Source organism: Homo sapiens, chromosome 1 (assembly GCF_000001405.40).
Source record: "Homo sapiens chromosome 1, GRCh38.p14 Primary Assembly".
In the NCBI taxonomy this organism is placed as follows: Eukaryota; Metazoa; Chordata; class Mammalia; order Primates; family Hominidae; genus Homo; species Homo sapiens.
In genome coordinates, this window is record NC_000001.11 from 6,665,654 (window position 1) to 6,682,307 (window position 16,654).

At 44.2% G+C, this 16,654-nt stretch overlaps 1 protein-coding gene across 2 annotated transcripts in view; it reads right to left on the reverse strand.

Annotated features, from left to right (window-relative positions):
* DNAJC11 (DnaJ heat shock protein family (Hsp40) member C11) overlaps positions 1-16,654 on the reverse strand; it is a 67,647-nt gene that overhangs the window by 31,484 nt on the left and 19,509 nt on the right. The window contains exons 2-4 of one of the 2 annotated variants that reach the window (NM_018198.4): positions 15,255-15,384; positions 12,741-12,814; positions 2,056-2,157 (exon numbers count right to left, since the gene is read on the reverse strand). In NM_018198.4, the coding sequence (NP_060668.2) occupies positions 2,056-2,157; positions 12,741-12,814; positions 15,255-15,384 (306 nt within the window). Of the gene's footprint in view, positions 1-2,055; positions 2,158-12,740; positions 12,815-15,254; positions 15,385-16,654 lie in introns of those variants that run through there. The other variant, XM_047424842.1, reaches the window with a different exon arrangement.

Consider the following 16,654-nt stretch of genomic DNA (forward strand, 5'->3'; position numbering starts at 1 on the left):
GAAACATGGCCTGCAGACACATTTGCATAGAGTCCCAATAAGCAACTGCCACACACCCCCAGATGGCCGATTTGATCATGGGACACGGATGCAGGATGATAGTGAGGTTCTCTTTCCCTTTCACTGCTCCTAACACAGCAAACCTCCAGCCAGAACATCAAAAACACCAAAGGAACAGCCTGCTCTTGCCAGGCACCCCCACCTCCCCCATCCCACCTCCATCTGCCAATACCGACCTTCCAAGCCAGACCTCCCTCCGGGCACCTGGCTGGGAGATCCAAGCAGGAACCATGAGCACAGCTCAGGGCACCTCGGAGATTTTCAACTCTCCCAATTATCCTAAACTCCCTGGCTCGGTTCACCCAGGGTTTTGATTCTCTACCTCCATCTGACCAAAAGGTAACCCTGCACTTCTGTTGAGGGGGAGAGTGAGTAGATGGGAGCAGAGGTGTTACCATTTTCAAATATACACTTTTTTCCCAAGAGAATTAAATCATTTATTGATTACACATGATAATGAGTGATACACAAGCTTCATTCCCATCCATAATTTTATCTGGTCAGATATACTTTGAAATGTGGGATTCAAAGAGATGGACATGTTCTGGATATATGGTCCTTTAAATGCTGTATGGGTCTTAAATAAACTGCTTTCCGGAATGTATTTCATCAGAGGTTTATCTTACTGTGCATCCCAGTTTAAGCCAGCATTTGTTTTTTTTCTTTCTTTTCTTTTTTTTTTTTTTTTTTTGAGATGGAGTCTCACTCTGTTGTCCAGGCTGGAATGCAGTGGCATGATCTTGGCTCACCACAACCTCCACCTCCCTGGTTCAAGCTATTCTCCTGTCTCAGCCTCCCAAGTAGCTGAAATTACTCGGGAGGCTGGTGGCCATGCACCACCATGCCTGGCTAATTTTTTTGTATTTTTAGTAGAGATGGGGTTTCACCATATTGCCCAGGCTGGTCTCGAACTCCTGACCTCAGGTGATCTGCCCGCCTCTGCCTCCCAAAGTGCTGGGATTATAGGAGTGAGCCACCGCACCCGGCCTATTCTATTCCTTTACAAGGTTTAAAGAAAATAATAATGCTACTTATAACTTTGTATGGCTTCTGCTCTCCTTCCAACAACGTTGATGATTTGACACAGATCATGGGAGAAGAGGCTGATGGAAGACCGGGGAGCTCCCAGCTCCTTATCATGACAGATACAGGCTCTCTGCCAGGCCATCCTGGCCACAGTGATAGGGTCTGGCCATTGAGCCCTCTTTTTAAACACAGCTGAACAGTACACCGGGCCATGTTTCATTAGCCATTCAGTGCAACTGGAATCTCAAAGTGACCAAGCTATCCTACTTGCCACAGAGCTGGGGCACACGTGCAGAACAACCTCCCCAGCAAACTGAAAGGAAAAAGAGAGCACACTTAGCATTGAAAAGTAACTCTGACTCAGTATTTAAAGGACTTAAACTCCATCGGTGATCTGGGACACCGATGCTGCTCAAACAACCCAGTGACCGGTGGTCACGGCACCAATGCCCTGGGGTGATGTGAGCAGGGACTTCTGCTCAAGGCCATGTGGACATGCCCTGAGCCCTCTGCATTATTTGGCTCTCCGTATCCTAACGGGTAAGCAAGGACTTCTGCTGCCTCAATGCTTAGGTGGTTAGGTGGCTGTCCTCTGCCCTGCCTGCCTCTGTCCTCTGATTTCCAGTGTCAAGGACTTGGGCAGCACAGTTGGAGGAAACAGCCTTCAGTGACTAGCCTGTATATCTGCTTGGCGAAACTCCCAGACTTCTGGAAAAAACAGGGGACTGGTTTTGTCTTCCCTCCACATGGTACAAAACCTCCTGGAGATGAGCAGCAGTGTGGCTGATGGCTACCAGGGAGGTGTTTTCCAGAAAGATACAACTTTGACATAATATAAGCTAAATTTTGTCCCACCAGCTTGTATGTTTTTACTTTAACAATCCACCAGCACCTCATTATTTCAGACCTGGCTTCTAGTTATGAGGCCTTTTCATGAAGTGTCCTCATGAAACGTGGCCCCTGGCTTACCTTGGGATTGGTTCGCTGCTGCAATCTCCTCTCTTCTCTCTCTCTCTGCAGCCGCTCAAACTCCTCTCGAATTTCAGCAGGGGTTCTCCTCCTTTCCACAACCTATGCACAGAATCAAGATGGGAAGACAGTTGAGGACCCAGGAGGTAAGGGAAACGTACACAAAGAGCTGCAGCCATTGATTTTGGTGTGTGCATGCTGCCTGGGGTCCGGCCACAGCCTTTCCTCAGGAAGGACCCCAAACCATGAGTTCCACCATCCGATGGCTCAGGCCTGGGTGAGGGAGAGCTCACTGCCCTCCTGGCCCTTCCCAAGGTTGAAATGAGTTTTCACTCAGCTCTCCAGAGTGACTTAAACATTCTTTATTTTAGCAACTTATCTCTGAGGCTGCAGAAATCTTACAAGGAAAATGTCACCTTATGAATTTCTTTCTTTTTTTTCTTTTTTGAGACGGAGTCTCGCTCTGTCGCCCAAGCTGAAGTGCCGTGCATTATCTCAGCTCACTGCAAGCTCCGCCTCCTGGGTTAACACCATTCTCCTGCCTCAGCCTCCTGAGTAGCTGGGACTACAGGCGCCCGCCACCACCCCTGGCTAATTTTTTTTTGTATTTTTAGTAGAGACAGGGTTTCACCATGTTACCCAGGATGGTCTCAATCTCCTGACCTCGTGATCCACCCACCTCGGCCTCCGGAAGTGCTGGGATTACAGGCTTGAGCCACTGCGCCGGCCTACCTTAAATTTCATAGTGTAAATTTCCTAATGAATCTCAGATAACAAATGTTAAATATCAAGACGAAGGCAAGCTGGCTCTCCCTAGTGGTCTGAGACAATCGCTAGAGACTCCTTTTGAGCTTCTTGGACCAAGGATCTCGAGCTGTCGGGTCTAGGTGTTTTTATTCTGTTGTTGTAGAAACGGGGTCTTGCTATATTGCCCAGGTTGGCCTCAAACTCTTGGCCTCAAAGGATCCTCCCACATCAGCCTCCCAAAGTGCTGGGATTGCAGGCACGAGCCACCATGTCTGGTGGGTCTGAGTGTTTTCAGAATCATGGGACTCTTCTTCTTATAACAGTATATGAACCTTAGAATGTGGGCTGTCAGTTATAGGCTGGCGTAACAATACTCAGGTACCACACAGCAGACCTCATTAAACTCGGGGACGCAGAGTAATGTCGAGTCTGAGAAAATAAGGTATTCCGGCCTGGCGCGGTGGCTCACGCCTGTAATCCCAGCACTTTGGGAGGCAGAGGTGAGGGGATCACCTCAGGTCAGGAGTTCAAGACCAACCTGGCCAACATGGCGAAACACCATCTCTACTAAAAATACAAAAATTAGTCAGATGTGGTGGCAGGTGCCTGTAATCCCAGCTACTTGGGAGGCTGAGGCAGGAAAATTGCTTGAACCCAGGAGGTGAAGGTTGCAGTGAGCTGAGATCATGCCACTGCACTCCAACCTGGGTAACAGAGCAAGACTCTCTCTTAAAAAAAAAAAGAAAAAGAAAAAGGAAAATAAGGTATTCGAGGCCTAGCGCAGTGACTCACACCTGTAATCCCAGCACTTTGGGAGGCCGAGGCGGGTGGATCACCTGAGGTCAGGAGTTTGAGATCAGCCTGGCCAACATGGTGAAACCCTGTCTCTACTAAAAATACAAAACATTAGCTGGGCGTGGTGGCAGGTGCCTGTAATCCCAGCTACTTGGGAGGTTGAGGCAGAAGAATCACTTGAACCCGGCAGGCGGAGTTTGCAGTGAGCCAAGATCACGCCATTGCACTCCAGCCTGGGCAACATGAGCAAGAAACTCTGTCTTAGAAAAGAAAAGAAAAGAAAAGAAAAGAAAAGAAAAGAAAAGAAAAGAAAAGAAAAGAAAAGAAGGCATTTCAATTCCAGTTCAGCCCTTCTTAGCTCGTCATGAAAGGAAGACCATCTAGTTGACATTTCAAAGAAGTGGAAAGGCCACCGTGAAAGAGGCAACCGCACTGCACGATTTCTAAGGGTCCTGTTTATGGTGTGAAATTGTGTGCACCGGTGAGAAACACACAGTGTGGGAACAGGACAGAAACAGTGGTTACTCTTTTTCTATCACGACCAAAGTTATCAGATGGATGGGGGAGGGGGCAGGGGTATACGAAAGCAGATTCTGCCCATCCATGGGAGAAACACAGGGGAGTCTTGAGTTGCTGCTCACAGACTATCTAAAAAGGTGTGATGTGAGAAAAAGTTTCCTTGGAAATTTCACGTTTCAAAAAATAATTTTTTTTTTTTTTTGAGACGGAGTCTTGCTTTGTCGCCCAGGCTGGAGTGCGGTGGTGCGATCTCAGCTCACTGCAAGCTCCGCCTCCCTGGTTCACACCATTCTCCTGCTTCAGCCTCCCAAGTAGCTGGGACAACAGGTGTGCGGCACCACGCCTGGTTAATTTTTTTTTTGTATTTTTTAGTAGAGACGGGGTTTCACCATGTTAGCCAGGATGGTCTTGCTCTCCTGACCTCGTGATCCGCCCGCCCAGATTATTTTTTAAAATACAAGCTTATAGCAAAAAATCAATAGAACAGAAGGATAGGAAATAAAAAGTATGCGATTCCCCTTACCCATATTCCCTCTTCTCATGGGCTCACACTCATCTCACAGGCTCACACTCAATTTTTTTTGTATCTCTTCCTAAAAATTCTCTATGCATGCTTATGTACCTACGTATGTGCGCATATGCACGTGCACACACACATACACACATTCAATATAAATAAGATATTACAGGCTTTGTGCAACTTGATTTTATTTTTCAACAAATAAAAAAAAATACAAAAACGCATCCAAAAAATCCTAGGAACTCGTCCACTACTTTAAACATTAAAAATATTGAAAACATTTTCTTCTCTAATAACCCAATATAAATCAATAATTACTAAAAAGGGGGAAGTGGTTCTTTTTAAGGAAGCTTTAAAATAAAAAGATTGTTAAAATCATCCAAGAACAAACTAAAGGTCCTAAGTGGCATGACAGTGATTGCTCTGTGACCTCGCAAGGGCATTCTGGGTTCTATTTCGTGAACAAGATGCGTTCCCGCTGCCCAGGCTTAAAATCATCGAGGGTGCGTCACCTATCTACAGCACTCTCACTTGCCAATACCACCCATCCTGACATAGACAAAAGCAAGGTACAATTTTTCAAAGTTTCCATTATCTTCTCAATCTCATGTCAGCCCCTCCCTGCATCGAAAGAAAATAAAAATGAAAGAGCTTCAGGGAAATGTAGGTAATCAACTATTCCATTAAGTTTGAAGATCCAGAAAATATGCTTTAAAATACTTTAAAAATTATTCATGACTTTACAGCCCAATTCAGTGGACCTGACTGTGGAGCCACAGTTTCTCTGGACTCAGTGGATGGTGACCATCCCAAGGACAAGGAGGTCTAAGTGTGAGGCTGTCTGAATGCAGACAGTTCCTCTACATAGCTCAGAGGATGCAGGATGTTCCAATCTGGATAAAGAGATTTGATTTGACTTGATTTGATTTATTTATTTATTTGAGACAGAGTCTTGCTCAATTTATTTATTTGAGACAGAGTCTCGCTCTGTTGCCCAGGCTGGAGTGTAGTGGTGCGATCTCGGCTCACTGCAAGCTCCGCCTCCCGGGTTCACACCATTCTCCTGCCTTAGCCTCCTGAGTAGCTGGGACTACAGGCATCTGCCACCACGCCCGGCTAATTTTTTTTAGTAGAGACGGGGTTTCACCGTATTAGCCAGGATGGTCTTGATCTCCTGACCTCATGATCCGCCTGCCTTGGCCTCCCAAAGTGCTGGAATTAGAGGCGTGAGCCACTGCGCCTGGCCATTTTTTTTTTTTTGAGATGGAGTCTCACTCTGTCATCCAGGCTGGAGTGCAATGGTGCAATCTCAGCTCACTGCAAGCTCCGCCTCATGGGTTCATGCCATTCTTCTGCCTCAGTCTCCCGAGTAGCTGGGACTACAGGCATCCGCCACCACGCCCGGCTAATTTTTTTGTATTTTTAGTACAGACTGGGTTTCACAGTATTAGCCAGGATGGTCTTGTTCTCCTGACCTCGTGATCTGCCTGTCTTGGCCTCCCAAAGTGGCGTGAGCCACTGCGCCCAGCGATATTTTATTTTATTTTAATATTTTATTTTTTTGAGACAGAGTCTTGCTTTGTCACCTAGACTGGAGTGCAGCGATGCGATCTCAGCTCACTGCAACTTCCGCTTCCAGGGTTCAAGCAATTCTCCTGCCTCAGCCTCCCGAGTAGCTGGGATTACAGGCTTGTGCCACCATACCCAGCCAGTTTTTTTATCTTTAGTAGAGATGACATTTCACCATGTTGGCCAGGCTGGTCTTGAACTCCTGACCTCAAGTGATCCACCTGCCTTGACTTCCCAAAGTGTTGGGATTACAGGTGTGAGCCACTGCACCCGGCCTGGATAGAAATTTTATAATTGAGTGTTCTATTCAACAGGATATTAGTTTTAAAAAATGCAGATTTTAATGAAAGTTTGATTCGCCATAACTTTAATCAGTGACATAAGCAGGCCCATGAATATGCCCATACACTACTATTTTTTTCAGAAACAGGTTTGCTAGCTGCTGAGAATTAAAATCCTGGACTCAAACCCTGTAGGAGAAAAAAGAAAACAAAGCCTGGAAAGTGTGAAGCTTCACAAAGGCTGCAGCAGGAAAAGATTCATTTTCAGGAATTTTAGCTGTTTCATCTTTGAAGACTGAACTAACAGCTGAAAATTACTTTCTCTCTGTTACATTCTGTGATGAATTACGAACGCAAATAATCCAAAGGTGGCAGATCATTCCATTTTTAGTCATATTTTACACAAATTTTGCAAATAGTTGGTACATAATCAGAGCTAACAGCAAAGCCAAAATGGCCAGCCTTTCTGGAGCGGTGAAGACACTTAGCAGGGCAGGGCACTTCATTCTCAGCTCCCACAGGCCTCTGCCAGCCTTGATTATTTATATCTTCCTTTAAACAGAATACATGATGCCAGAGAGGGGAACAGGACTAAGCCAGCTGTGAGCCGCTCTTCTCCTTATCAGCAACCCTTACAGACAGAGGCATCTGGGAACACAGCATCCAAAGCTGCATGACAGTTGATAAATACCAGACATTTTCAATGTTTCTCATGGACAGAGTGTATCACATGCAGCTCATGAATCCATACAACTGCTGTTCACTGGAGCATTCACCAACTAGGTCTATCCCTATGCTAACCAGAAAACTGACTGAGCGGCCAGGTGCAGGGGCTCACCTGAGGTCAGGTGTTTGAGACCAGCCTGGCCAACATGGCAAAACCCTGTCTCTACTAAAAATACAAAATTTTGCTGGGCATGGTGGCGGGCGCCCATAATTCCAGCTACTCGGGAGGCTGAGGCAGGAGAATTGCTTGAACCTAGGAGGCAGAGGTTGCCGTGAACGGAGATCGTGCCACTTCACTCCAGCCTGGGTGAAAGAGCGAAACTCCATCTCAAAAAAAAAAAAAAAAAAAAAAAAGGAAAAGAAAACCGACTCAGCCCAGGAGTTCCAGACCAACCCGGGCAACATAGTGAGACCCCATCTCTACAACAAAAAAACAACCACCAAGAAGACTGACTTTATTGATGAAAGGAATGAGGAGATATCCAAAAGCTAGGTGGCATAATGGAAGGAGGACAGACAGGACCTCAAACCTCCTGGGAGACCTCAGGCAAGTCACCTTTCTAAGCTTCAGTTTCCCTGCTATAAAATGAGGAGGGTTAAGCGACATCATTTGAAAAGTGTCATCTGGTTCTAGCTAGTAAACTTTTTCTTCTGGGATAATTTTAGAAAATGATTTGGAAACGCTACAACAACAGTACAGAAATTTCTAGTATAGCCTGCACCCAGGTTCCCCCAATGTTAGCACCTTTTATAACCATGGAAGAGCTCTCAAATCTCAGAAACCAACATTAATACATTTCTACTAATTAAACCTAGGGTTCAGATTTCACTAGATTTTCTACGAACATCCTTTTTCTGTTCCAGGATCCAATCCAAGATTCCACGTTGCATTTAGACACGAGGTGTCCTTAGTCTTCTCTGCTCTGTGACAGTTCTAAACCTTTGCTAGTTTTTCATGATCTTGACCATATTACTGCTTTTAATACAGGCTGACTTTCTCATATACTATAAAACCGATGTCAGAGACAGGGAAAAGTAAAATATAAATAATGTAAAGGACTGCAGACAAAAACCAAACTGCAGATGATCTGGGCCGAAGGATGCAACTCTGGGTGTAATCTAACATCTGAAAGTGACACCTGCAGGAGATGAGTTACGTGGTTTCCATGGCAGTTGCCAGCCATTACCAGAATCAACCCTGTCAAAGTATTCACAGTTCAAGGTTAGATTTTTGCCATTCTGAAAAAATGACCAATTTCATTTTCAATGTGGATATCTGCACAAACATCACTAACCAACCTCAAGAAGTAAACAGTATGGCTGGTTTTATAAGTTGGGAATGGTTACATCTCATTCCTTGGGAATCCTCCCAAAGAATAACAGTCTCTAGAAGCCTTAAAAAAAAAGTGGGGGGGCTGGGCACGGTGGCTCACATTTGTAATCCCAGCACTTTGGAAGGCCAAGGCAGGAGGATCATCTGAGGTCAGGAGTTCGAGACCAGCTTGGCCAACATGGTGAAACTCTGTCTCTACCAAAAATACAAAAATTAGCCAGGCATAGTGGTGCGCACCTGTAATTCCAGCTACTCGGGAGGCTGAGGCAGGAGAATCACTTGAACCCCGGAAGCAGAGGTTGCAGTGAGCCAAGATCACGCCACTACACTCAGCCTGGGCAACAGAGCAAGACTCCGTCTCAAAAAATAAAAATAAAAAAATTAGCAGGGCGTGGTGATGCATGCCTGTAGTCTCAGCTACTTGAGAGGCTGAGGTGGGAGGATGGCCTGAGCTGGGAGATCGAGACTGCAGTAAGCCACGATCGTGCCACTACACTCTAGCCTGGGTGACAAAGTGAGACTCTGTCTCAAAAAAAAAAAAGTCTGAAAATTTACCTAATGACTGACAACTGGGCCAGTATTTTGTACATTCTAAAGAAGCTCCAGGGTTGGGGAGTGATTTCTAGTTGGTGGAGTACTTTGAGATCTTTGGATTAAAGGCGTCTCAGACACTCAGGATACCAACAGTCAATGCCCTTCACCCTTCACTGACTACCCATATGGTAGCCTAATAAATATGTGGTAAATGGATACCCTTCAGCAACTGAAGAGTTTAACAGTCTAAAAATACCAGCAACAGCATGAAGGGAATACAGCTTCCTCCCTGGAGTGAAAGCTATTATTGCAGTGAGAGAATCCTCATATGGAACAATCCATCCAGCTGTAGGAATTCCTTGAAGGAATGTTGATGCCAGCTTCATAGAATGTGCTTGAGTTCAATGAGACTTTCTGTGTATTATGAATAATGGGCTCAATTTTCCTATTGGATGTTAAGCACTAATACATATCCGAGTAAATATCTGGGGAGGTGTCTTCATTTAGTTTTCTTTGAAAGCATTTTTATCTTGCAGCAAAAGCTTAGTATCCACATGAAAAAAAAAAAAAAGCCAATTCTGATCTATGAGAACCTGACTTCCTTAGTTTACTAAAAAAATACGAAAATAATGTTTAACCACTTGCCACCCACGACTGTGCACTTATTTTTATTTTCATTTATTTATTTCATTTTTTATTTTTTGAGACACAGTCTCACTGTCACTCAGGCTGGAGTGCAGTGGTGTGATCATGGCTCACTGAAACCTCGACCTCCTTAGGCTCAAGCGATCCTCCCACCTCAGCCTCCCAAGAAGTAGGATTACAGGCACTCACCACCATGCCTGGTTAATTTTTTCATTTTTTATCGCTTGTAGAGATGCGATCTCACTGTGTTGCTCCAGCTGGTCTCGAACTCCTGAGCTCAAGTGATTCTCCTGTGTCAGCCTTTGAAACTGCTGGAATTACAGGTGTGAGCCACTGCACCCAGCCCTATATATTTGTATAACCACCATTTTGCGTGTGGATTTGCTTTGTTTCTAATGGGAAGATAATCTGGTCTGATGAGAGGAAGCCATACAATATTCTACCAGCAGACCCCAGTGCTCCACTGATTGGGATAATGCTGCTGGGGACTAAAAACCTAGTCTTTGAAGAGGGAATATGTAATGGGGTCCTACAGCTTTTCAGTGACTCCAATTGCTGACTTGAAAAATTGTAGCCAACCCACATCTTAAAAAAACAAAGAAGCTTTAAGGAGTGTATAAAGAGTGACGGGGAAATTGAATAAATACAACAGAATTCTACTTTCCTTTTTGGATGAGAAAATGCTAAGTTATTTGGCTTAATACCTAGCTGCAATGAACCAATGTGACAGGAAGCACTGCTATTCCCATCAAGCCAGAGGCCAAATACCAACTGCCCACTGGAGCCAGGAGGACATGCAGATGAGAAGAGCCAGACATAACGCAAGGGGGAGTGGTGGGGACTGGGACAAATTGGACAGCCCAGCCCCATCTGAAGGGCAAGGGCTCCTCAGATCCACTGTTACCAGATCTTCAGATGTTTCAAGAAAAGACAGAAGACTGAATTATCATGCAGAACCTCCCAGGGTTGAAATGTTAGCAACTAGAATTCACTGTGTGAGGCAATCAAAAAATGGCAACAGGCTGGGTGCGGTGGCTCACACCTGTAATCCCGGCGCTTTGGGAGGCTGAGGGGGGAGGGTAGCTTCAGGCTAGGAGTTTGAGACCAGCCTGGGCAACATAGAAAGACCCCATCTCTACAAAAAATTTAAAAATTAGCTAGGCATGGTGGTGTGTGCCTGTAGTCGCAGCTACTTGGGAGGCTGAGGTAGGAGACTCACTTGAGCCTGGGAGGTCGAGGGTGCAGTGAGCCATGATGGCACCAACACACTGCAGCCTGGGCGACAGAGCACGCGCGCACTCTCTCTCACAAACACACACACACACCAAAAAAGGCTATTAGTGGAATATGGCCCATGAGCCACCAATATGAAGCAGTAGTGGAAAGGCAGGAAAGGAAATAGGATCCTCTTTTGCTTTTCTTCCACTCCTCATCTGAAGGCCTTTACAAGGCTTTGATGCCAGAACTGGAAGAGACAGGCACGCATGCTTGAGACTAAACATTGAATGAACTTTGGCCAGGTGTGGTGGCTCATGCCTGTAATCCCAGCACTTTGGGAGGCCGAGGTGGGTGGATCGTCTGAGGTCAGGAGTTCGAGACCAGCCTGACCAACATGGAGAAACCCTGTCTCTACTACAAATACAAAATTAGCTGGGTGTAGTGGCGCATGCCTTGTAATCCCAGCTACTCAGGAAGGCTGAGGCAGGAGAATCACTTGTTGCAGTGAGCCAAGATTGCGCCACTGCACTCCAGCCTGGGCAACAAGAGCAAAACTTGGTCTCAAAAAAAAAAAAAAAACAAAAAAAACGAAGGAACTTCAAGGGTAATCTTACATGATGGTGAAAATATAACTCAACGAGGGTCAATTCAATGTTATTAAACAGACTAGCAAAATTTATTGGGCATCAGAACCAAGTTTCTTTCTTTTTTTTGTGAGACAGGGTCTTGCTCTGTTGCCCACGTTAGAGTGTAGTGGCGTGATCATAGCTCACTGCAGCCTCAACCTCCTGTGCTCAAGTGATTCTCCCATCTCAGCCTCCTGAATAGCTGGGAATACAGGTGTGCGCCACCAAGCCCGACTAATTTTTAAAAAAATGTTTTGTAGAGACAGGGTCTTGCTATGTTTCTCAGGCTGGTCTCGAACTCCTGGCCTCATGTGATCCTCCCAGCCTGGCTCCCCAGAGTGTTAGGATTACAGGTGTGAGCCACTTTGCCTGGGTCAGAACAAAGTTTCTTTAATGATACCTATATATCCCTGTAGCAACTTAAGGGTTTCACAACTAATCTTCATATTCATTTTTCAGATAGTAACATGGAAGCACTAGTAGCCCAATGACTTGCCCAAGACTCTACTGCTAGTCAGTGGCAGTGTGAAAGCAAACAAATTGTCTGGATTTTAGTGACTGCTCTCCCACAGCATGGCTGCCCAGGGCGACACATTTGCTATATATTTTGTTTCACTCATCACATTTGACAAAGCTTGAATATTATAATACATGAGAATTGAAAGGGTCATTACAGGCAATGCAACCCCAGCAACTCTGCTTCCATTTTGCTCACGTGCATAACATACTCCCATCTGAAATATTTCCTCACAGCAATTATTCAGAACTGAGGTGGAGAGAGAGGCACAGAACTGTGGAGGGTGGAAGGGAGTGTATATGGAGACAGAACTGCACCCTTGAAGAAATCGTCTCCCATCAACCCCCTGCTCCGCTTGCTCCCGCCCCACACCTGGGTTAAAAATTACTGGTTCGGTCCATCCCTCTTCCGTTTTACTTGACAGGTTAGGGAACGAAGGACAAGTCAGATGAGTGGCTGGCCCAAGTTCAGAGTTACAAAGTGGCAAAGCCAAGTCCAAAACTCAACCTCTAAAACAAAAATACAGGGCAAGGAAGGGGGCTCTAATGGTTTCAAATATTCCCAAAGACAATATTACAGATTGCAGGGTTTTGGGGAGATGTTCTGTAACTGTTTAATGACTTTTCTGGAACACCAGACGCACAGTTTCTCTTACCTCCCATCCTTCCATTTCCAGTCCTCTCTTCCCATATATATCATAGATGGCCCTGGTTTGGGGGTCACTAAGCACTGCAAATTAAAAATTAAACATGTTTATAAAATACAAAATTCACCTTCAGTCCTTCCTGAGAATACTGACATCATTAGGTAAGCCCATCTCCTGTTCTCCCTGTCTGATCACAATCTTCCTAGAGACCCCTTTCATTTTCTACACATCTTTCCTCCCAACTGCTTTTTCGATTCAACCTAGGATTTGTTTATTGACTTATTGACTGACAGGGTCCTTCTCTGTTGTCCTGGCTGGAGTGCAATGGTAAGATCATAGCTCACTGCAGCCTTGAATTCCTGGGCTTAACTAATCCTCCTGCTCTAGCTTCCCAAGCAGCTGGGATTACAGGTGTGTGCCACCATGCCCAGCTAATTTATTTTTTGTAGAGATGGGGTCTCACTATGTTGCCTAGGCTGATCTCGAATTCCTGGCCTTAAATGATTCTCTTGCCTTGGCCTTGCAAAGTGTTGGGATTACAGGTGTGAGCCACTGCACCCAGCTAATGTAGGATATGTTTAAAGGCGGCTACAAATGAGAAAAGTCAGATTTTCCAGTGTCCAAGTTACTCTTGATTGGAAGGTACAGCTACAAGGTGTACAAGGTGCACCATGCAGGAAGTGGCACGGGCTCCTGCATTGGGAAAGGACATGAACGTTGTTTTTAAGATAATTTGGTAAATTTCTGCCACGGTGTATAAAAGTACACTGACTTGAAAGAGTGGGTTCCAGTTTCTAAAGAAGCTTGCTATAAAAGTAGAAACAGGCTCAGATACTAGAAAAAGCTGATTTGTTATTTACTCTATAGAGTTCTGTTAACTCCAAAGACAGGCTACATTTCTTTTGTGCACTTCTCCTCTCTATTTGTAAATAATTTTAAAAGACAAAAACATCTCTTATCATGTTGTTGGCCACATCACCCAAAATACATCAGAAAAGGATTTCTCAGCTAACGGTGAGGGCTGTTCAAACGATATCCCAACTGAACGATATCCCAACTGAACTCAAATGTCAGCAAGGCCAATGGTTGTTCTCTTCCCCCTCTGCTTCACCAATTTCTGCCAAGACCTTTGGGTCTCTTCTCCCCTGACAGTTCCCATATATTTGTAGGCCTAATTTAAAAACCACATAAATGATACTATGCATAATCAAATCTAACGGGAAAGGAAGAAATGCTGGCCCCTGGAAAACACAGGAGCCAAACTTGTGTTCCTCTCCAGCATTTAATAAGGAATTATTCATTCACTATTTTACCTGAGTCTCCCTTTAAGCTAAACATGAGGCCAGGTCTGCTGTTGTGGCACTTTCACTAGCACTGGTAGGGTTTTTCTTTAACTCTTCCCCAGGTCTCCAACACAATACAAGCAAACTATGTGGCTAATTTAGACAACAGTAAAATTAATGCACCCATTTAGATAACAGAATACAATAAAAAGAACAGGCTACTCTTCACAACCGCCATGCAAATGATCTGAATACAGTTAAATTTGGTAATGACACTACACCGACTGTACACATTTATCACACACTGCAGCCTGATTTTCACTGGCCATTAAAATCTAACTTTTTGGTAAAACTATAAAGTGAAAAACACTACAAGCTATTATGTATACAGTGAGATGACTTTATGATTTTATAAAGAAACATATTATCTAATTTTTGGTCTAAGGAGCAAATCACCAGATGGTTCTGGAACAAATAACTTATTGTAGTTGATGTATATAACAGTGATTTAACATTTTTTTTAATTTAAATTTTAAAAATGGTGGTAAAATATACATATAATATTTACCATTTTAACCATTTTAAAGTATACAATTCAATAGCATGAAGTACATTTACAATGTTGTGTAACCATCATCACTCTCTATTTCCAGAACTTTTTGCCATCCCAGACAGAAGCTCTGTATCTGGTAGTGACTTTAATATTTTATAAACAAATATATCACAGAATGTTCTTTCTGACATACATAAGACATAAGTATAAAAATGTGAATCACTTGGTTCTATTTCCTATAAGCCTTCTTAACATCATTTTCTTTCTTTTATTACAACCGATAACTGCTTCAGAACCAATAAAATCACTTTTGGATGAAAAAATGTCCTTGTATCTTCTAACAAAAAAGAGAACAAAGAAACCTTCCCTGTAACGATCAGCCTTTTACCTATAAGAGTTCCCTTTAGAAGAAAACTGGTAAACGATTTAAAACTTGAGTATTCCCTTGCAATTGAGACTCTGTCTATTACCTCGCCCGGTCTCTCATTTTCTACTTACTGGACACGTATTGATTTCCAAAGCAAAATACTATTCTTTCAAAGGACCCTGTCAGTGAAAAGTACTAAACTAACCACCTGTTTTATATACCTCTAAGGACTCTCTTTTTCTATCCTCTACAAATCGCACCTCCTAAAAATCGAATATCTGTTACCAGGATGTTTCTACAAAGTCCGGCCCTCCACTGACCTTCATAAGCCTGGTGAACAAGGTTAAACAGTCGTTCCGCCTGTGACTTGAGCTCTGGGTCTCTGTGCTTGTCTGGATGGTAGAGCATACAGAGCCTCCGGTAGGCAGCTTTCAGCTCTTCAGAAGAGGCCTAAAGAAAGAAAAATTCAATTAGAGAACAATCAATGCTACTTAAACATTATCATCATCAGAATCAGCCTTGAAATGGGAACCCATCAGCCACGTCCCAATGTGTTTGCTCTCGACATACAGGATGTAATGAAGTTCGGTTTATCACCTCAACAAGGCTTCTTTTTGCCAGTTAATAAAGTGATCAATTACATACATCAATAGGGACTGGGTTTTGCTGGGAAGTGCTGCTATCCAATGAATGAACGTTTGGGTCTCTGGAATGGCTCAGTGTGCTCTGAGCTGAAACAAAAATGTCACAGAGACGTGCTAACTCTTTAACTTATTTGAAGTAAATCATGCCAAGGCACTCTAAACAGAACAGGTTCAGGCAAAGAAAAGCTATATACCATTAGACAGAAATGACATCAATTTAATGACATAACGAACATGAATCCTTGAAATTCAAAGACAAACTTGTAAGGCCCACGTGCACTCGAATGCAACCTCTAATTCCAGAAGGCAGCACATTCAGTGGCAGAAATGCTTCCCTAACCTGTAGTAACCAACCCTCCCCAAAACCCCCAGACCCCCTAAAAACCAAAAGGCATCAACTCTCCAATTCTCCTACGCAGGACATCTGAAGGTGTGGCACAAGGCAGACGGGCTCTGGTGTGCTTTAACCACAGTGGGGGGGGCGGGTGCCAATGAGGCAAACCCACATTCACTGTGGCCTGCCTCACAGCCACCAAGAGGGTCTCTAGACAGGGCCCCTCAGAGGCCTTGGGACACTGAGCGGGCTATGTGGCTGGCCCCGCAGGTCTGCTTTTGGGAAGTGTTATGTTTGATTCTAGAGGCTATTTTGGCCTATCAGGGGTGGTACTGGATGGGCAGTTCTACCCTTTGGTATATCAGTTAAAGAACATTTGATTTGAGGACGTATCCCCACCATTTTGACAACTGAAGCACATTTCTGGGTCACTGACATGCTAGAGGGGCCCCAAAAATCTGCCAACTGAACAGAAGAATAGGCCCAGGTCCCAGGAGGCGATGTGAGGATTGACAGTCCTCTAGGATGAGGGCCTGGAACACAGATCCTCAAAGAAAGAGGTCACAGAGACATAAGTTAGTCCTGGGACCATAATTACAAAAAAAAAAAAAAAAAAAAGATGACTGTATTCTCTGTTACTTCCACAATTTTTCAACATCTTTCAGTCCCAGGACTAATGAGCTTCTTCACCAGCAAAAAAAATACAATTTTACTGTACTTTAGTAATAATTTTTGGCCCAGA